The following is a 19,244-nucleotide window of genomic DNA, read 5'->3' as shown; positions in this document are numbered from 1 at the left end:
ATGGGATAGAGCTGGAGAAGCTGAAGTCAGCAGGAGATTAATTAATCAAAACCCGAACACATCTGCTGTTAATTAATTCCATGCCAAGGTTAACTCTTCCCTCTGGGCTTCCCCTCCCCTTGGTGGGAAGAAGGAAATAATGGTGGGAGACAGCACCCCCTTAACCTTCTTCCCTTAGTGGGAAACATGAAGAAGGGAGGGGAACGTGAAGGGCAGGGCAGTTTCTGGGGTAAGAAAGCAGAAGAGGCAGGGCCCCCAGAGGGCAGGGCAGCCTCACCCATGTGGGTGCTTTTTAGCGGTGGTAGGGGGCGTTTGCTTTTGAGAGTCAGGGTCCATGGCAATTAGTCATGAGTCCTGAGGAAATCTGAGATGGACAAATATCTTTATTTACAGCAACAGATAGAACAGACCCTCCCTCCCTTCCCTTCCTTTCCCCTTCCAGTCTTTTCCATACTGTTCCCCCTCCCGCCCCACCCCAGGCTCTCGCCTAGCCCTGCCCTCTGGGGTCACTGCGTGGGTTAGGCCCCCAAAAAAGCCTAGGAAAGGAGACTGGAGAGGGCTGGCTGAGGGTGGGTGGGGCGTCTCTTCACATTTTTCTGTCCTCTAAGCCTGGGGTGGAGGAGAGAGGCAGGCACCAGGAGCAGGGAGAGGTAGAGAGCTACGGCCCCACCGGCCCACCCTCCCCAAGTAACTTTCACAGTGTTCCCCAGCCCTGGCTGCCCCCTGCGGTCCCCACCCCAGCCCTGCCCCTAGGTTGTCCTGTCAGGTCCTCAGCAATGTATGAACCTGGTAACCCAGTAAAGAGTTCAGGCTTCTCTGCCATGGGCCCACCACCCACGGCTGAGGAGGTGGCCCCTCTGAGTGCCCCCCACTATTTTCAAGGCTGGGGTTCTGAGAGGACATGGGTGGGTAGGAGAGGACCAGGGAGAGGGGGCTTCTCAAGCCTTGTGTGACAGTCCTGGGCCTGGCCCCACTCAGAGGGACCCTGCTGGAATCTGCAGGGGCGCCAGGCTGGCTTAGCCCCCGACAGAGGCTCAGGAGGAGAAGCAGAGCCCACAGCACTCCATGCAGATCTCCAGGCAGTCCGCGGACTCGCAGCAGGCATCCAGGATGCCGCAGTCCAGGTCGCAGGGCAGGTCGCAGTCGGCACACTCGCCAGAGCCACAGCAGCAGCAGCAGAGGCACGAGTCCTCCGAGCTGCAGGAGCCACAGGTGGCGCAGTCCAGGACGATGTTGCACAGCGTCAGGAACTCGCAGAACAGGCAGGACAGGATGCAGTGGACACAGCAGTCTGCGGGGTGGCGGTGGAGAGGGGGACGGGTGAGAGAGGGGAGGGATGAGCGTGTGTGAAATAGCCGGGGGTGTGGGGGCCTGCGGCAGCGGCAGCAGCAGGGACGCTGAGTGTTCACTGTGTGCCTGAAGCTCACGAATCCGTCCCCACAGCTCCATTTTCTAGGTGATGACCCCGAGGCACAGACAGTTAAGCACATCGGAGCGGGCAGTCTGGATCATCCTTGCTCTTAGCCACCCTCTGTTTATTTGTTTAACCAACATATGGAGTGATACATGTTCTTGGCACTGTTCTGAGTGCTGTGCATGAATTACATTCATTTAGGCCTCCAATGAATCTATGAGGCAGGGGCCTTTACTAGCCCCACTCTACAGATGAAGAGACTGAGGTTAAGAGAAGTCGGCCGGGCCCAGTGGCTCATGCCTGTAATCCCAGCTCTTTGGGAGGCCGAGGTGGGCGGATCACCTGAGGTTAGGAGTTCGAGACCAGCCTGGCCAACATGGCGAAATCCCATCTCTATTAAAAATACAAAAAATTAGCTGGGCGTGGTGGCACACGCCTATAATCCCAGCTACTTGGGAGGCTGAGGCAGGAGAATCGCTTGAACCCAGGAGGTGGAGGCTGTAGTAGTGAGCCGAGATCACACCATTGCACTCCAGCCTGGGCAACAAGAGCTGGACTCTCTCTCAAAAAAAAAAAAAAAAAAAAAAGAGAGGGAGAGTAGTTAAGTCTACACCCAGAATCCTACCACCTGGCTCATCTCTCACCTGGACACCTTCGACAGCCTGCTTACTGGTCTCCCTTTGACCACTGCCACCTGGCATCTCCACTCCACACCGCAGCCAGAGGGATCCTTTAGAAATACCTGTTGGATCCTGGCCCTCCTCTGCTCAGACCCCTCCCATGGTTCACATGTCGCTTGTGATAAAAGCTGAAATCTTTGAAGTGGCCTCTGAGGCCCCCTGTAGTGTGGTCCCTGTGCCCTCTTAGTTCTCTTCTCCCACTCTTCTCCTCCAGATCACTCTGCTCTGGCCACGCCAGCCTCCTGGCTGCTCCTTGGCCATGCAGGCGCTGATTCCTCTGCCTGGAACAATCTTGCCACAGGCACGTGCTTGGCTGAGTCCCTCATCTCCTTCTTTGCCCAAATGCCACCTCTCACCGAGGCCTTCCACCACCCGCTTCAATACCGCAACCGGCTGGCTCTGCCTCACACTCCCTGCCCGGCCCTACCTGACTGCCTTCTTCTTCCCTCAGAGGACATCGCCTCCCACTGTACTACACGGTTTCCTCATATTCATTGTCATCTCCTTCTACCGGATATGTAAGCTCCAGCAGGGCAGGCATCTTTGCCCATTTTGTTCAATGAAAGATTACAAGTCCCTAGAACAGCGCCAGACACATAGAGGTGCTCAGTGAATAGAATAGAAATGCATGAAGCTGCGCTGGGCACCAGCTGGGAGGTGGTGGAGCTGGGACTTGAATCCAGGCTGCTGGCTCTAGAACCCACGTCCTGCAGCCCTCCGTGTGCTGGGGCCAGGCCATGGGGCAAAGCGTGCAGCTCTCCTGGCCAGGGGGCCCCCTGGGAGGTTCACTGTGCTGTGGAGGGTCTAACCCTGTTCTCCTGCATTCCTGTGTGGAGGGAACTAGGGTCTTGTGATCTCTCTCCAAACTGGATAGGGTAGTTATCTTCAAACGTAAATCTAATGAGGTGACCACCTTGTTTAAAACCCTTCAGTGGCTCCCTACTGCTCTCCAGATAGTCTAGGCTTACTGCCTGGTTGGTAAGGACCTCCCAGGACCCCTGCCTGCTAGGAGTCTCACCTTTGGCAGTTCACCCTCCAGCCACACTGGCCATTTCTCAGCTCTGTGCGCATGCTCTCCTGGCTGGAGCCTCCTTCTGGTCTTTTAAGGCATGTTCAGACATCACCTCCAAGCCTTCCCAGGATTCCCTCCCCAGATTTCTGGGCTGGTGTGAGTGGTCCCCCTGTGTTTGCGTAATCCTCTGCATGAGTTTATCATTGCACTTATCACATCGTATGGCGATTACCTATCTACGTCTCTCATGAGAGCTTTATGAGGTCATGAACCAGGTTTCCAGCACATAGCAGGTGCCTAGGACATTTCATTTTATTTTTCTTTGAGACAAAGTTTTGCTCTTGTTGCCCAGGCTGGAGTGCAATCTCGGGCACGATCTTGGCTCACTGCAACCTCCGCCTCCGGAGTAGCTGGGATTACAGGCGCCCACCGCCACGCCTGGCTAATTTTTTGTATTTTTAGTAGAGACAGGGTTTCACCATTTAGACAAGGCTGGTCTTGAACTCCTGACCTCAGGTGATCCACCTGCCTCGGTGGATCCCAAAGGGCTGGGATTACAGAAGTGAGCCAACGTGCCTGGCCAGGACATTTTAAATGAATAAATGGCTCCTTCATAAATAAGACTGTTGGGACTGGGCTTGGTGGCTCACGCCGGTAATCCCAGAACTTTGGGAGGCCGAGGCGGGTGGATCACCTGAGGTCAGGAGTTCGAGACCAAGCTGGCCAATATGGCGAAATCCTGTCTCTACTAAAAATACAAAAATTAGCTGGGCGTGGTGGGACGCGCCTGTAGTTCCAGCTACTCAGGAGGCTGAGACAGAAGAATCGCTTGAACCCGGGAGAAGGAGGTTGCAGTGAGCCAAGATTGCGCCACTGCGCTCCAGCCTGGGCGACAGAGCAAGACTCCATCTCAAAAAAAAAAAAAAAAAAGGAAAAAGACTGTTGGGCAGAATCTGCTTTGCAGAGTGGGAAGGTTTCTGAGCATGTTATGTGCAAGTGTGTTTTGCAGATGCCCAGGCCAGGGTCCCTTCACATGGACAGGAATCACTGGAACATTCTGAGGTAAAGGTCAGGCCATCACTGAGCTCAGGCAGCTGTTGGCCATGTTCAATTGATGGCTGATGAGGAGGGGACTGGCTGCCCCTGTGGCCCTGCAGAGGATCTTTGTGTTGTAGGCACATCGGCTGGTTGGGTGTCTGGATCCTCTGACCTCCTACTGCACCTTGCAGCCCTGCCCTGGCACCATTTTATTCTGCTACATGTTCTTTTTTCCTCCCTTAACAGAAAATTTCTGTTTCCAGAAACAGAGTGGCTTAAGATGGATCAACCCAGGTGGCTCCGTTCCTTGTCACAGCAACTCTGGGAAAGAAGGGATGGGGAGGGGTTTGGGGTGGGGTGGGGAGGTGGCCTTGAGAAGGCAGGTACACCTTTACCCAACGGGTGTACTTTGCAAGGTTCTAAGATTTGGTCATGCGTCAGGTTCCCTGCAGGGCTTGTTAAGCTCCACCAGAGATTCCAATCCAGTAGGCGTGGAAGGAGGCTGAGATCCTGCATCTCTAAGTAACAGCCTGGTGAAGGTGCTCCAGTGGGCCCATGCGTCATGCTTCGAGGAACCCGGCTTTGGAGGCCTCTCCCAGGGAGAGATGGGATGGGTGCTTACCTTCCTGTGCCTGGAGGGGGATCTGGGAGGTGGTGGATTTGCTGCTGCTCTTACTCTTCTTGCTGCCCTGGCTGGCGAGAGATGGGTGTGTCTGCAACTTCCGGTGGGCCTTGGGGCCACCCAGGGCACCATTCCCCGCCCGTCTGGTGCCGCCCAGCTCTGAGGGGTGGCCAGAGTCATTCGGCAGAAGTGGGGTGCAGCCCAAGGGGTTCCCCTGAGGCTGGCCTGGAGAGATGAAGAGAAAGTGTGATGGGAAAAGGGTGGGGGTCATTCGGCCCCCAGAGCTATGCTCGAATCCTGCCTGCTGCATTCTTACATATACCCCAAAGCACCCAGCCAGACCTGTATCCTGCAGATGGGGAAACTGAGGCCCAGAGAGAAGAAATGACTAGTCCAGAGCCACGCCATGAAATTGAGTTGGGCCTAGCTCCTGACTCTCAGTTCAGTGCTCAGTCCAGAAATGACAGATGTATAAGGGCAGGGGCTCGGAGCCCTGGACCTCTCCTTTGTTCCTCACACAAAGTCCATTCTCCTGCTCTTGTCATCCTGGGGTTTTGGCAGAGTGGTGGCAGTGGCAGTGCTGGGGAAGAGGGGTGGTTTGGCTGGGGTTGGGAGCGCAGCAGTGAAGAAGTTAATCTTCACCTCGGCCTCTGCCAAGCCCCCAGCTGTTATTGCCCTTGGCGCACTGGGTGATTTATTGGAAACATCTGTTTGGAGATGAACGCCTGGCTCTGGAATCCAGGGGCTCCTCACTGCAGCCCCTCTACCTCCTGCTCCTTCCACCTGGTGCCTCCACTCAAGCCTCTGCCCTCCGCACCCTCAACCCCATCCTGCCTCTATGGGCAGCTGGCAGAGGGGTCTGGGAGAGGAGGGAGGGAAGAAGGCAAGAAGAAGGGCAGTGGGGAGACCCCTGAAGCCAGGACCCCCGGGTCCCCATTGCAGGCTGAGGGACCAGACTTCAGCTTTATCAATGGAGTACAGGCAAGGTGACCCTGGAGACCCCCCAAACCCCGAATTCCTTCCTGCTCCTCGCTCAGGGATGTTCAGTTCTGGGTGAGAACCAGCTGGCTCAGTTCTGCTCTCAAGAGATGAGGGGAGGTGTGTATGGTGGGGGGAGTGCGGAGGGACTGAAGAGGGGTCACTGAGAGCTCTGGGGCCCCTCAGCTGTGCAGGGGTCCTGACTCCTGGGCAGGACCCTGTGGCCTCAAGGACCCTCTGTAAATGTGGGGGGCACTTCAGTCCCTCAGGAGCTGGGATCTGGATCCCCATCTCCCTCCAGGCCTGGTCTGTGTATGTGAATTGTGTAGGAGATGTCTTGGGGGCCCTGGAGCCCAAGGAGAGGGGAGGGTGGCCTCGGTGCCTCCCTTGGCTGAAGAGGCCGGGTCTTCCAGTGATGGCAGCAGTCACAACATTGCACACTGCCTGCTTCCTGCACGCCAGCCCTTCTAAGTACTTGCTGCTCACGCATCCCCTCAGTATTGCTAGTCTTCTTTTACTGATGAGGAAACTGAGTCCCGGAGAGGTAGAGGTACAGTAAGTTGCCCAAGGTCACATAGCTAGCAAGTGTCAGAGAGGTACAGTAAGTTGCCCAAGGTCACACAGCTAGCAAGTGTTAGAGATTAGGAGCTGGGGCTCAGAGGGCAGAGGCCAGCATGGGGGCAGAGGCTGGGAGACAAGCGACTGAGGAATAAGCTGCTACTACCACGACAATCACTACCCTCATAACTGGTGTTATGTACCAGGCACAGTGCTAGAAGCTTTAGGTGGAGCAGCTTCTTTTTTTTTTTTTTTTTTTTTTTTTGAGACGGAGTCTAGCTCCGTGCCCAGGCCAGAGTGCAGTGGCGCAATCCCGGCTCCCTGCAACATCCGCCTCCCGGGTTCACACCATTCTCCTGCCTCAGCCTCCCGAGTAGCTAGGGACTACATGCGCCCGCCACCACGCCCGGCTAATTTTTTGTATTTTTTAGTAGGGATGGGGTTTCACCGTGTTAGCCAGGATGGTCTCGATCTCCTGACCTCGTGATCCGCCCGCCTCAGCCTCCCAGAGTGCTGGGATTACAGGCGTGAGTAGGTGGAGCAGCTTCTTTAGGCATCGCAATAGATCTACTACTGGCCCCATTTCACAGATGAGAAAACAGAGGCCCAGAGAGGGGAAAACTTGCCAAAGGTCCTCTAGCTGGGAAGTGGAGTGGGGAGGGCATGAAGATTGGGAGAAAGGAGCTGAGGACAAGGTGGGGGATCGGGGGAGGGTGGGAAGCAGGGTTCTGGAGAGGCTCCATGCTGGGAGCCTCCAGCAAGAGGTGTGGCTGATGCCTGCATCTGGATAAACAGGGTTAAGGCTATGGTTAGTGGCCAGGCCTGAATCATCAGGCCCCCACCTCTTGGCCCCACACAGGGTGACTGGGCCAAGTCCTTGGCCAGCTTCGGTGCCCCTTGCCCTTCTGCCGAAACATGGGCACACTGACCAGAGGGCGGGAGTGTGTGGTGAGCTGAAGGATCTGGGCGACGTGGACAGACACAGAGCTTGTCTGTGGCCATGGCCGTGGGGGCTGAGTCACAGAGCAAACACTCAGGGCTCACAGACACAGGAGTGTCTGTCCCATTCCCACCAGACCCCCTCCTCCACTGCCAAGGCGCTGACCTCTTTCTCTCAATTCTGCTAGTGGGTGTGCTGGAGGAGACCGAGGGCCGTGCACTAGTGGGATTAGTAAGCCTGACTTCCAGGGAGTCCAGCTTAGCCCCAGATGCCCTGGCTGGAGGAGGCTTCCAGCTCAGCCATGCCAGCTGGGCATGCAGGCAGGCACTGCAAAGAGTGTTGGGCCGGGAGACCTGAGTTTCCCAGCTTGGGACCAGGGTGGGCCGTTCTCTGTGCCTGTTTCCTCATCTCTAAAATGGGCTTCGCAGTAGCCATCCTGCTGCCTCATTGCAGGCTGATTAGGAGAGCAAGTGAGCCCACTCAGGGAAAGAAAGTTGGAAAGTAAAAATGTGTCTAAAGATGTGGGCAAATCTTCGTTAGTTATAAAATGATCCCAGCTGTTGCTTCTCCTGTTCTTGAGGGTGAAGGTGGAAAATTCTCTCCCTCCCCCCAGGACCTCCTTGGAGAACTCGAGCCAGGCCTGGGAATGGAGCTGAATTTTGTTCCTTTCGCCCTAGAGCAACTGGGGGCTTCTTCCTTTTATCCCTGATTCCCGGAAGGATGGAGATGCATCAGGCCCTGGCTCCCTGCCGGACCCCAGCCCCGTAGCTCTCTTCCTGAGGCAGGGGGTGCCTCTCTCCAGGTAGCCGCATGCTCTCTGTCCTGAGCCATTTTGCCTGGAGCCTGCCCACACTCCCTGCTTCCTAGTCACTTTGCAGTGGAGGTCTTCCCCTTGACAGAAAGCACAGTGACAGTGCCCTTCCCCTTTCTGCTGCCTGTGCTGCCACACTCAAGGTTCTGGCCAAGCGGGTGCACCCATTTTTGCCGACCCATTTGGGTTGAGTTCCCTAGTGCAACCCTACATGTTGCCATCCAACCTCCTGGCCCCCTAGGACTCACATGTCACAGCTTCTGTGGGGACGTCGAGGTCAGTGCTGTCCAGGCCCTGGGGGATGCCAGGGCCATTGCCTTGGGGCATGGGGGTTGCCGCCTCCTCCAGGGAGCCCTCCTCTGGTGCTGCCTCCGCAGGGTGAGTGGATCCTGTTACTACCTCCAGCCCAGGAAGGAGGGATAGGGTCTGGGCTAGGAAAAAAGCAGATGACTGAGGTCCATTTTCCTGGGGCCTTCCTGTTTGCCCAGCCGTGGGCCCCGCCCCACAGCCCAGCATGCCCACTGAACCCTCATTCTTTGTCTGTCTGCATCAGTTATGCAGCCCTTACTCTAGCTGACAACAGCACCGGGCTCCAAAATAGAAAGCTCCCAAACCACAATCTGGGAGTGAGCAAGGGTGTGCATGCATTTGAGTGTGTGCACGTGTGCATGTGGTGTCGGGAGGGGCAGAGATGGCAGAATATAAAGAGAAGTAGGGAGAGGAGGCAGAAACACAACACGGGAGAACAGACGGACGGTCAGCAACGGAGAGATAGGGACAGGCATCGAGAGTGACAGGGAGAATCAAAGGGACAGTGAGAGGTAGAGGTAAAGGGAGATAGAGCATCGGACTGCGAGAGATTGGGCACGGAAAAGGGATCCACAGTGACCCAGTGACAGACAGCCTGAGACGGGAGTGAGACGCAGCAATAGCACGGAAGTCAGTAATGGAGAGAAAGATAGAGATGGGGCAGGGGCAGAGGCGACAGAGAAGGTAGCACTGTGTGATACAGAGCGCGGAGGGAGACGGGAGAAACTGGGTCAGAGAGGATGATGATAGAGGAGTCAGAGGAACCTGGGGGTGAGGAGCAGGGAGGGGCTACAGTCAGGAGGAGGACAAGGAGCCGGCCGGAGCACTGGGGAAGAGGTGAACCGCAGCCACATGTAATTACAGTGGCTCTGTGCAGGGGCGGCAGGAGGCAGAAATGGAGCCACCTTCAAACCCACAGCTCCCCAGCCTGCAGGACTAGGGCCCCTAGGCTCAGGGGGAAAAGGGATGGGGGATGGGAGGTGAGGGAGGGAGGAAGAAAGGGGTCCGAGCGTCCACACACTCAGCCAGGGGTCAGGGGCGGGCCCAGGCTGTGGCAATGAAAGGGTGTAGGGTGCAGCCTGGGCCTCTCATCAGACCTCAGCCTATGCAGTTAGTTGGAAGGACAGGGGTCTAAAGAGGGTGGCCTTCCACCTGCCCCCTCCCCAAATATCATGTTGGGAGAAGGAGCAAGGAGACACAGAAACAAGAGACTCAGAGATGCAGAGGCCAAAAGAGCGCAGGGAGAGGCAGGGTGACACAGAGGGGGACACAAGGAGAGGCAGGGTGACACAGAGGGGGACACGGGGAGAGGCAGAGTGACACAGAGGGGGACACGGGCAGACAGGGAGATGATGAGAAACAGCAGGGAAGCCCAAAGAGTACACACCCCACAGAGAGACCAGAAAGAGGCACATGCAGAGACAGAGACACAGAGAGACACAGGGTAGTCTTGGGAATTGAAATGGAATCAATCACAGAGAATAGTGAGGGGTTGACACAGAGAGGGAGAGAGTGGGGGTGGGGGAGAGAGGCAAAGAGAGGGAGATGAGAGATCAAAGAAGAGAGGAGGGAGGTAATTAGAGGGATCAGTGGAGGCTTGGGCATGCAGGCCTGGGGGATGGGAGTTGGAAGCATGCTGAGGAGAAGATCCTGTGGCCCAGCTGCCTCCCTGGGCCCAGAGCACAGCCTTCTGTGGCCATGACCCTCAGTGACCCTCATGACCCTTGTTCCAAGGGGTCTGGTCCCCCACAGCCAGGGGAATGGACGCCCCAGAGGCCCCATGTGGGAAGCACAGAGGGCGGCAGGCCCAGCAGGCATGCTCTCACCTGCCCAGGGAAAAACCACAGGGCTTGCCTGGAGACAGGAGCTGGGGCAATGGGGAGGGAGGGCTGGCGCTCCTAGGATTTGTGCAGGGCAGGAGAGTTATGTGCTGGGAACCCTTCCCGGGGCCCATGGCTCCACGGAGGCAGGGGTGGGTTCCTTTCAGCTCCATCTGCTCTTTGGGCCTGTTGAGAGCTCCCCTCTTAGCTGGGTTAATCATTGGGAAATCAAATAGCTTTTGGACGATCAGAGGATTTGGACAAGGAGGAGCAGGCAAGTGGAGACGCTGGTGCTAGATGGTGCCTCTCCTAGCCCTGAGCCCGGTCTACACCAGCTCAGATATGGCTCTTGAAGGCTAAGACCAAGTTGCCATGAAAAGGGAGGCTCAGGGTCCTAATTTCCAGGAAACCAGGGGCCTGCCTAGCTCCGGACCCTGGCCCCCAGAGGCACCTTGCTATGGCCCTGGGCCCTGAACTGGGGGACCTGACTCTCCCACAGGGTGTAATGAGACAGAAAGACCTGAGTGAGAAGCAGAAGATCCAAGCCCTACATTCACCAGTTACCAGCCTGGCAAATTATCAGAGTTGGGTTACTTTGCATGGAAAGGGTTGGGTTACTTTGCAGTCCTAATCTCATGCCACAGGGTTTCAAGGAGGAAAGAAAATGCTCATCAGGGGGTTGTTCACGAGCCTTTCACCCACAGCCCTACTACTCTTCCCTCCTTCCCTTCCTCTCTTCTTTCCTTCCTCCCTCCTTTCTCTCTCTCTTTTTTTTTTAATGAGTAGTTTGGCTTCTGACCTTTCCCCTTCCTTCCTTCCCTCCTTCCCTCCCTCCCTCCCTCCCTCCCTCCTTCCTTCCTTCCTTCCTTCCTTCCTTCCCTCCTTCCCTCCTTCCCTCCTTCCTGTGCTGTGTGGTTTAACATTTATTAAGCACCTACGAGGCACCCAGCAATATGACAAGTATTGGGTATACCCGAGTGAGAAAGACCAGCTCACTGCCTCGGAGTTCTCGGTTAGGGGAGAGGTGGGCTGGTGGCTCTTACATACCCAGAGGTGCAAGAGTTACACTGGGGCATCTGGAAGAATGGTGGAAGCACAGAAGACGGGCACCTAGCCCAGATGGCTGAGTGTGTCAAGCAGGCTTCCTGGGGCAGGCAGTACTCACACTGAGTCTTGACCAATCAGCAGTACAGAGGGGGAGTTTTGAGAAGAGCAGCAGGAATCAAGACCCCCGAGTGAGCCGCTACACAGAGAGCAAGGAAGCCACATGCTGCGGGGTGGTGTTGAGGCTGGGAAGCCTAGAATGATAGCAGGGCATGACAGGCCTTGTGGTCATTTCCCAGGCTTCCTGCTGAGGTCACCAGGGCTCACAGAGGTGACACTGTGAGTCCTATGGTAGAGAGAGCCAGGACTTCTGCTCCCTGCCCTGCTCCCCCTCCTCCCCGCAGTGTTAGAGAGGGAGGAAGGCAAGGAAGAGGGTTTAAGGAGCCTGGAGTTCACATCTCCACCTGCCTTACCCAAAGTGTCTCTGCTCTCTGGGCAGCCTCTCCTGACAGTCACCTACAGGGCTGGTGACCTTGGATCTGGTGGGAACAGGAAATTACAGAGTGCAGACCAAGGCCCGAGGAGGCCCATCCCACAGAAAGCCTACCAGGCATCAGACCGTGGAGGAAAAATGAGGAAGGAAAGAAAACCAAGTCCAATAATCCTGACCTGGAGACACACAGAGGGACAGAGAACCTCTGGAGCCAGGAGGGGCCACAGAGGGGACCCAGCAAACCAGCACGGAGGGCAGAAGAGGGAGCTGTGCCAGATATCCAGAGACAGGGAAGCAGAAGGAAAAGGAAGAAGCAGCTGCAGGAAGACCTGGTCTGCAGAGGAGACACTGCCCGGGTGGCCCAGACCCCTAGGTGTGGACTGAGAAGCAGCTCCTGCTTGGAACAGATGGGGCAGAGGCGCCAAGAGCCCACTTTGCCATTCTGTAACCAAGAGACACCGCTGTCCAGCCACAGAGGGGAGAACATCTCAGGGGAGAAACTTCTGGAGGGTGGAAGTGTGGGGTGGGCAGGAGGCAAGGGGGTGGCCAGCAAAGGTGAAGGAGGCCCCCCGTGTGGATGTGCAATTCATGTACTGCAGAAGGTGCCTGCCAAGGGGGTGAGCGGATGTGGCTGAAGTCCTTGCCCTCCTAGTAGGTGCCATCTGCTCACCCAACTGCGCACCTGCTCCATCTGACCAAGGGGGTTCCTTTTTCTAATCTGCACCGGGTGCCACACATGCTGGCTCCGAGCAGAAGCCCCCAGCCCTGTACTCCTCCTCTCAAGGGTGGCTATCTACAAAGGGGAGATACGGAAAGGCAACAGCCCCTTTGCTTCAATACACTCTCATTCCTAACATGGGGTAAGATTCTGGTAAATGCCTGGAGCTCTGGAAAGACGCCCCAGATGGGAGTGGGAGAGCCATGTTTAAATCCATGAGCCCAAGAGGAAAGGCCGAGACTCACACCCTCAGCAAGGACTCTGTGGGTTCTCTCTGCTTGCCATCCACCAAGTTGAGGGGTGGTCCTGGACCAACAGGGAGTAGGGGGGAACCTCTTTCCGGTGGGATGGTTTCAAGCCTGCACAGTGCCCATGGGAGTTTCAGCCAAAAAATCCCTGGCTGGTGTGGAGAGAGGCCTGTGTTCCAGAGCTCCACGGCCTACTGCCTTAAGTTTAGCCCTCGTCATTGTCTTTGTGGACCGTGGATCTGGGCTTCCCACTTGGAACTCTGACCGTCTCTGGAGAGGGAAGGCCAGAACCTCATATGGTCAGAGAGTGGTGGCTGGAACCCCACACCTCAATCTTTCCTTGGCTTGGCATTCAAGGCCTCAGTCCGGACCTTCAATCTATCAATGTACCAGGATCCTGTGTTCCACGCAGACCGGCCTCCCCATGGTCTGGGCCATTGCCGGATCTTCTGACCAGTCCACCCATGCTTATATTATTCCTGTTGACCAGAAGATCCTACCCCTCCCACTCTCCAAACCCAACTCATCCTGGACCAAGCTCAAACTTCACCTCTTCCTCTAGACAGCTTTCTCTGACCCAGTTGCTAAGAATTTAGCTCCAGTGTTCCCTCTTGTTAATTACAATTTGCTAGTGAAATCCCGGCTTCTCAACCAGACTACAGCCCTCCCAACTCACTCCCTTGGAGTGGTGTCCATATTCATCTCTGCATCCCCAGGGGGCACTCGGCAAATGCCTACTGGGGAGTACTTTCTGGAGTTTGGAATGCCCCTGTCAGGGGAAGGAGAAAGAGAAAGAAATGAAGACTAGGGGTGGCACCTGGACCTGAACCCCAAGAAAGTCAGAGAGGGTGGACTCCTTTGATGCACACATGGTTGATGCGAATCCAATGGTCACACTCCCAGGCCACCAAGCTGAAAACTAAAGAGGGCCTGAGCTGGCCAGTTAGTCTGGGACAAGTTGGTTTTATTTTAGGTCTGAAGGTTCCAAATCCCCAGGAAATTCAATTTAGAACCATGAACAGGAATGTGACGCCCCAATGCTGGGCAAAAATGTGCCTGTGGGCTAGGGAGCCAGGCTCCCGGGGCTCTCAGGGGTGGGTGGGGAGGAGGCCACTAGGAGAGCCAAGGGTGTGGGGGCTTGGCCACCTGCCCCTACCAGATCTGCCCTGAGTCCCCTTGTGCCCTGTCTGCATCTGGGGTGGCTGAGGGAGGAGGCCGACTTGCTCCCTGGCTGTCCTGCCAGCAGAGCCCCTGGGGCAGCGCTGTGGCCTTGCTGTTCTGTCAGCACTCAGGGAGTAAAGCGTGGGGGATTCTGGTCTCAAATTCAGGCATCTGTGGGGTTTTGGCTGGGTCTCCTGCGGTTTGGGCTTCCTGGGCAGCAGGCTCATTCTCCCAAGGCGGTGGCAGAGCGAAGCCTTGAGTTATGAAAGCCGCATTGTCTGGCCCAGCCCAGGCTGGGGAGGGGGTCTGCTGGGGTGCTGGGGGGCCTCAAGTTACAGCCCAGAGCTTAACCCTCCCAGTTGCCCACGCTGGCCCCGGTTGTGTGCAGTTAGCCCTCTCCTCTTGCTGCTGGAGCTGAGAATGGCTTCAACAAGGAAGGGGATCTTGGAAGGAGGTAGTGGAGGGAGAGCAGAGAAAATGGATAAGGGGAGGGAGAAAGCTGGAGAGAGTAAGAGGATGGGAGAGCAGGAGGCTGAGGAAGGGAGGAGGCAGGAAGGAGGCCCAGCGGGACAGGGAAGGTTCCCAGACACAGAGAAGGACCCTTCCAAGTGCCCTGCCCCCAGCTGTCCCTCCGGGCTGAAGGAGTCCAATTCTTGGAGGCGCTCATCCTGCAGAAGGCCCCGTTGCAGGGGCCCCACAGAGACAGCAGGCAATTTGAGGCTTGGCCAAGATGGGCTGTAGACACACTGGCCTCATCTATGTGCTGGCTGTTGGCCAGACATCTTCCACTTGTCCTCACTCTGGTTTAGAGGACCCCCCACCTCCACAACTAGGCGTCCATACCAAGTAGGTGGGGAGTGGAGAGGGGCCTCCTAGAACAGGCAGGCAGGCCGGCTTCGAGGGCGCATGTGGAGGCTCAGGCCAGAGAAGGGAAGGAGCTTGTCCAAGGCAAGGCAGGGAGTTCGTGTCAGAGGTTCAGGAACAGACCTTCATTATTCAGAGTCAAAGAGGGGAAAGGGGGAATGGCGCTGGTGGGGAGGAAGGCAACGACTTAGACAGTGGAGATTCCAATTATGAAATCCGGGTCCACACTCCTGCACGCGGTTCCCCTGGCCCTGAACACATCCCAGAGGTTCCTGACTTCTCCTTGACCCGGACTTCCATTTGGGAGCTTCGGCTTAGGCATCTGGCCAGTGAGGGGAAGGGACTGAGAACCAGGGCCGGCGAGGCCCCTACTCCAAACCCCTTCAGGGAGTCACAAACCGTACTTGGCGTGAGAGGCTCCCCCAGGAATCGCGGGTAGGTTACAGACGGCGCCAGGCGCGGGACGGGGCATTTCACTTGGGCTGAAGACACTGGGTTGGGGTGCGTGTGTGTGCACAGGGCAGGGGCGGCGGGGACTGGCCGGCACGAGAGGGAAGGAAGGCGAGGGAGAAGGGATGGCAAGAAAGAGGGGAGGGGCTGGGTCCTGCAGCCGCTCGCGGCAGACAAAAGTTTTCGGGAAGCGCTGGGCTCTGGTTGGGCTGGGGGAAGGGAAGTAGAGAAAGATTCAGACAACGCCCCCTCCCCCACACCAGGCCCCCACAAATATTTACACACTGGGCAGAAACAGTTGAGACACAAATCCCAGACGGACAGACACCGCGGAGTGTATGTGTGTGTGTTTGTGTGTGTGTGTGTGTGTGTCTGGTGTCGGGAGTTGCGGGGAGTTGGAGCCAACTTGGCGCAGCCGCAGCCTCTGTTCAGGGCCCTGCCTCCCTCGCCCAGCCCCCTACTCTCCTTGGACCAAGTCCTCAAACCCAGACTTTTCGTCCCTACCCCCACCAAGCTCCCTGGAACGGTCTCCCCGCGTCTGGGGACGGAGAGGAGAACTAATAACTGGCCCCTTCAGCCGCCCACCCGCCCCTGTCCAGCTTCGCTCGCCACTCCCGGTCCTACCTGGGCCCGGGGCTGCGCTGGGGGCTCCATAGGGCGCGTCGCAGCCAGAGGGGCGCTGGCCGCTCACCTGGTACATCGGCCCCGGACCTGCGGAAAACAGGGCTCAGCGGGCGGCGCCGGAGGCGGGCAAGGGGCGATTCCCCCGCAGATGCGCGCCTCCCACGTCCACTCACTCGTGCGAGCCGTGCTACGCTCTCTTCCAGCCGGATCCCCGCGCGGGGCCCGCCATGCGCGCCTGCTCCGGGCGCCCCTGCCCAGGTCCCGCTGGCTCCCGGGTGCTCGCCTGGCGCCCCTTCCCCTCTCACTCGCTGCTTTCTCCCATTTCGGCGCCAGCTCACGCCGTTCGCCCCTTCCTTCTTCCTTCTCTCCCTCCAGCCCCCCTCGCTCCTCCCCTACTCGCCTCTCCCCTCCCCTCTTCCCTGGCCCACCCTCTCCCCGCCCCCTCCTCGCCTTCTCAGTCGCCCCTCTGCGGGTCCCCTCCCCCGCGCCGGGCTTGGCCCAGCCAGGAGCCGGACACGTCTGTCCGCGGGGCGCCCGAGGCCCGAGCCCCCACAGGAAGCCGGCTGGGCGCGCTTCCTCCGCGCTCTCGGAGCGGGGCCTCAGTCTCCCCGACTCCCTGCTCTCTGAGGCCCGGAGATCCGCGGGCTGCACGTTTTCCTTTGCCTGTCCAAACTCTGCAAAAGTTTCTGGAAAATCAGGAGAAAGAGAGAAACCTCAACCACTTCGTGGAACTGTCTGAATAATTGCGGCCTCCAAATCTCTTTGCCCCAAAGATGGGCGCGATCAAGTTTCTCAGTCACGTTTTACCCACCCCCTCGGTCTCCTCCCGGGGTCCTAAGCCAGGGACAGGGATCTGGGCTCCCAGGCCACCCGCCCACAGCGCCAGAGTTGTCTGTCCGGGAAATCCGGTTAGTGACCAACCAGCCTGCCCTGTGCCGCAGCAGCCCAGAGCATCCTCGACCCTCCTGCCCCTACCAGCTGTGCGTGGGAATGTGTGTCAGAAAACCGACTTTGGGGGCAAAGAGAGGTCCTCCGAATTCAGCCCTTCTTTGGGATCCAGACTGAATCCGAGGGCTTCTAAGATGAGGGTTCGGGGAGAAAGGGGAGGGAGGGAGCCTCTCCCGGTGGGGCCAGCCGGGCGGCGCGTCTGGATGGTGAGCCGTGGTGGTAGGAAGAAGCCGCTGCCAGGCAGTCCAAGAGGGTTCAGGGGCCCTCAGCGCGACCCCGGAACCTGGTCCCCGAGAATGGGGAAGACTTTGGAGCCTGCGGCTCTCCAGGTGGGGCTGGGCGGGCCCGTGGGATGATGCTCAGGTGGGGCAGCCCCCTGGGGTGACAGCGTCTCGGCCGTACTTGTCTAGGGCCGCCTAGGAGCCGCGTCTGGGCTCCCCGCCACGAGGGCCAGTGAGCACACTGGAAGGCAGCGGCGGCACCAGGCCACCTTTTCTAGTCCCGAGTCCAGCCGGGTCTGGAAGTGGAGAGCTGGGACGCAGGAGGCCGGGCGTCCCAGCTCCCCACTTCTTGGACTCTCCTAGCCCCCATAGTCGCTACTTACGGCTATCGCAGGTCCTGGGGCGCCGTCGGGGCCAGGACCGGGATGGCCCCCACGGCGCCGGCAGCGCTCTCGGCACCCGCGGCCACGTCCCAGCGATGGGCTGGGGTGGTTGCGGCCCGGAGGAAGGTGGGGCGGGACAAGAAGAGAGTGTTCCGCCCCCCAGGCCGGGCTGCTAGCCGCGGGGGTCTGTCCTAGTGCCCCAGGAGCCGGCCGGGATCCGGCTGCTGTCCGGGAGCTCTGGAGAGCTGAGCCAACTCCCGCTTCCTGGCACGGGCTGAGTCACCCGGACGGGACGCGCCCGCGCCTGGGCCTGGCGGCTGCTGCATTCTTACCTGCTTACCTGGGCGCGCACGCTGGGCCTCACCCACCTCCGAAGGCAATCCTCACCGTCTCTCTCCGTTTCCTCCCGCGTATAGGGCCCCCTCCCGAACCCCAGACCTCAGTGCTGCACCCCTCCCCCTGCTTTCTCGTCTCAATCCAGGGCCCCTAAACTCTGCATCAGCTCAGTCCCGGAGCCTTACTATTCCAAGTCGCCTGCTTGATCTCAAAAGTCCTCTGAATCTGGCCCAGTACTAATGTCTGTTTTGTTGGAAATGTAAATTATGCTTTAAATTTAATCACGCATGCTGGTTATACAGGTGTGCTCATTTTGTAAGGATGCAGCAAGCTGAACATTTATGATGCAGGCACTTGTTTGTATGACTATTATACTTGAATAAAAAGTTTTTAAAAATCAACACATTAAAATCAACATTCCAGTTCAGAGCATGATAGGATATGATGGCCAGGCTGGAGGCCTGGCATGGGAGCCCAGTTTCCAGACCCACCATCTACTATATTTCTTTGGGGAAATCCCTTTGCCTCTCAGCCTCAGGAGGGATGAGCACTGGGGCCCAGGACCAGGACTGGGGTGAGGTAAGTGAGACACTCACCTGGTGTGCAAGATTTCGGGGATGCCAAGATAAGGAATTTTTTTTTTGGAGGCAGGATTTTGCTCTGTCCGCCAGGCTGGAGTGTGGTGGTGAGATCTCAGCTCATTACAATCTCCACTTCCCAAGTTAAAGCAGCTGGGACTACAGGTGCTTGCCACCACACCTGGCTAATTTTTTTTAGTAGAGACGGGGTTTTACCGTGTTGGCCAGGCTGGTCTGGAACTCCTGACCTCAAGTGATCTGCCTGCCTTGGCCTCTCAAAGTGCTGAGATTACAGGCATGAGCCACCGTGCCCAGACTGATGAGGAATATTTTAAGGCAATATTTTAATATACCAAATGGGCAAACTACAGTTCTTTGGGCCAGCTGCCTTGTTTTTTTTAAATAAAGTTGTATTGGAAACAGGACCAGGATTAAGGTAATTAATCACGCAAGTTCAGGGTCAGATCCTGTCTTTATCTAAAATGTTGGCATTTTGTTTATCATAGACTTTTTGGCATTAATTTGGATTTTTATACATATTGCAGGAAAATATTGTTTTATCTTAATTACTGAGTTTTTTGATGCCCCCTTAAGTTTTGAACCTGAGCCAAGTGCCTCATTCACTCCAGGTTTCACATGCCTCACCCTAGACCCGGCCCTGTTATTGTCTCTTCCTGAAGGACCTGTCCAGGAAGCCAGGGTAAATGAGGGGAGATCAAAGGTGTTCCCCCACCCAACACTGTCACACACACACATATGCACAGCACCAAGTGGGCTCTGCACCCAAGCCCAGGCCCAGCTTCCCCGGGGCCCACCGATCAGTTCAGAATAAAGCGCAAAGTCCCTCAGTCTCCATGAACTGGGCCCCACCTGCCTTGGCCCTCATCTCCCCTTACTTATTCCCTGCCAGCCATGCTACTTCCTTTTCTCGGTTAATTTGCCAGGCACCTTCTCGCCTCAGGGCCTTTGCCCTTGCTCTTTCCTCTGCCCAGAA

The 19,244-nt window shown here is 57.2% G+C and overlaps 1 protein-coding gene across 13 annotated transcripts, besides 3 other annotated features; it reads right to left on the bottom strand.

Annotated features, from left to right (window-relative positions):
* Positions 1 to 365: 365 nt before the first annotated feature.
* On the bottom strand, positions 366 to 17,592 carry MDFI (MyoD family inhibitor). 13 transcript variants are annotated; one of them, NM_001300804.2, is made up of 6 exons: positions 17,337 to 17,592; positions 16,235 to 16,470; positions 15,785 to 15,871; positions 8,302 to 8,484; positions 4,767 to 4,991; positions 366 to 1,291 (listed from the first exon to the last, which is right to left on the bottom strand). In NM_001300804.2, the coding sequence occupies exons 3-6, from the start codon at positions 15,858 to 15,860 to the stop codon at positions 1,035 to 1,037; spliced, it is 741 nt and encodes a 246-aa protein (NP_001287733.1). In that variant the 5' UTR covers positions 15,861 to 15,871; positions 16,235 to 16,470; positions 17,337 to 17,592; the 3' UTR covers positions 366 to 1,034. The 13 variants fall into 13 exon arrangements, with proteins under 13 accessions (NP_001287733.1, XP_011512927.1, XP_047274736.1 ...); XM_011514625.3 differs by having other exon boundaries at positions 8,302 to 8,479; XM_047418780.1 differs by lacking the exon at positions 17,337 to 17,592 and adding an exon at positions 16,596 to 17,030 and having other exon boundaries at positions 8,302 to 8,479.
* Positions 6,863 to 7,847: an enhancer, noted in NCBI's record as "H3K4me1 hESC enhancer chr6:41614501-41615485 (GRCh37/hg19 assembly coordinates)". NCBI's record gives its function as "activates a minimal SCP1, AML or CMV promoter by ChIP-STARR-seq in naive H9 embryonic stem cells {active_cell/tissue: H9 hESC(naive)}" and the evidence as "EXISTENCE:reporter gene assay evidence [ECO:0000049][PMID:30033119]".
* Positions 8,834 to 9,819: an enhancer, noted in NCBI's record as "NANOG-H3K4me1 hESC enhancer chr6:41612529-41613514 (GRCh37/hg19 assembly coordinates)". NCBI's record gives its function as "activates a minimal SCP1, AML or CMV promoter by ChIP-STARR-seq in primed H9 embryonic stem cells {active_cell/tissue: H9 hESC(primed)}" and the evidence as "EXISTENCE:reporter gene assay evidence [ECO:0000049][PMID:30033119]".
* Positions 13,489 to 14,069: an enhancer, noted in NCBI's record as "H3K4me1 hESC enhancer chr6:41608279-41608859 (GRCh37/hg19 assembly coordinates)". NCBI's record gives its function as "activates a minimal SCP1, AML or CMV promoter by ChIP-STARR-seq in naive H9 embryonic stem cells {active_cell/tissue: H9 hESC(naive)}" and the evidence as "EXISTENCE:reporter gene assay evidence [ECO:0000049][PMID:30033119]".
* Positions 17,593 to 19,244: the final 1,652 nt, after the last annotated feature.

The sequence above is a fragment of the Homo sapiens genome, chromosome 6, assembly GCF_000001405.40.
Source record: "Homo sapiens chromosome 6, GRCh38.p14 Primary Assembly".
NCBI classification, from domain to species: domain Eukaryota; kingdom Metazoa; phylum Chordata; class Mammalia; order Primates; family Hominidae; genus Homo; species Homo sapiens.
This window is presented reverse-complemented; position numbering and strand designations above follow the sequence as displayed.

Excerpts from the sequence above, each read along its gene's own strand:
- MDFI (XM_047418777.1), bottom strand. The coding sequence starts at position 15,860 with ATGTACCAGGTGAGCGGCCAGCGCCCCTCTGGCTGCGACGCGCCCTAT. Across the intron at positions 8,485-15,784 it reads CAGCGCAGCCCCGGGCCCAG|CCCAGACCCTATCCCTCCTT; the intron begins GTAGGACCGGGA and ends CTTTTTTCCTAG. Across the intron at positions 4,992-8,301 it reads CCCCACAGAAGCTGTGACAT|GCCAGCCTCAGGGGAACCCC; the intron begins GTGAGTCCTAGG and ends TCATCTCTCCAG.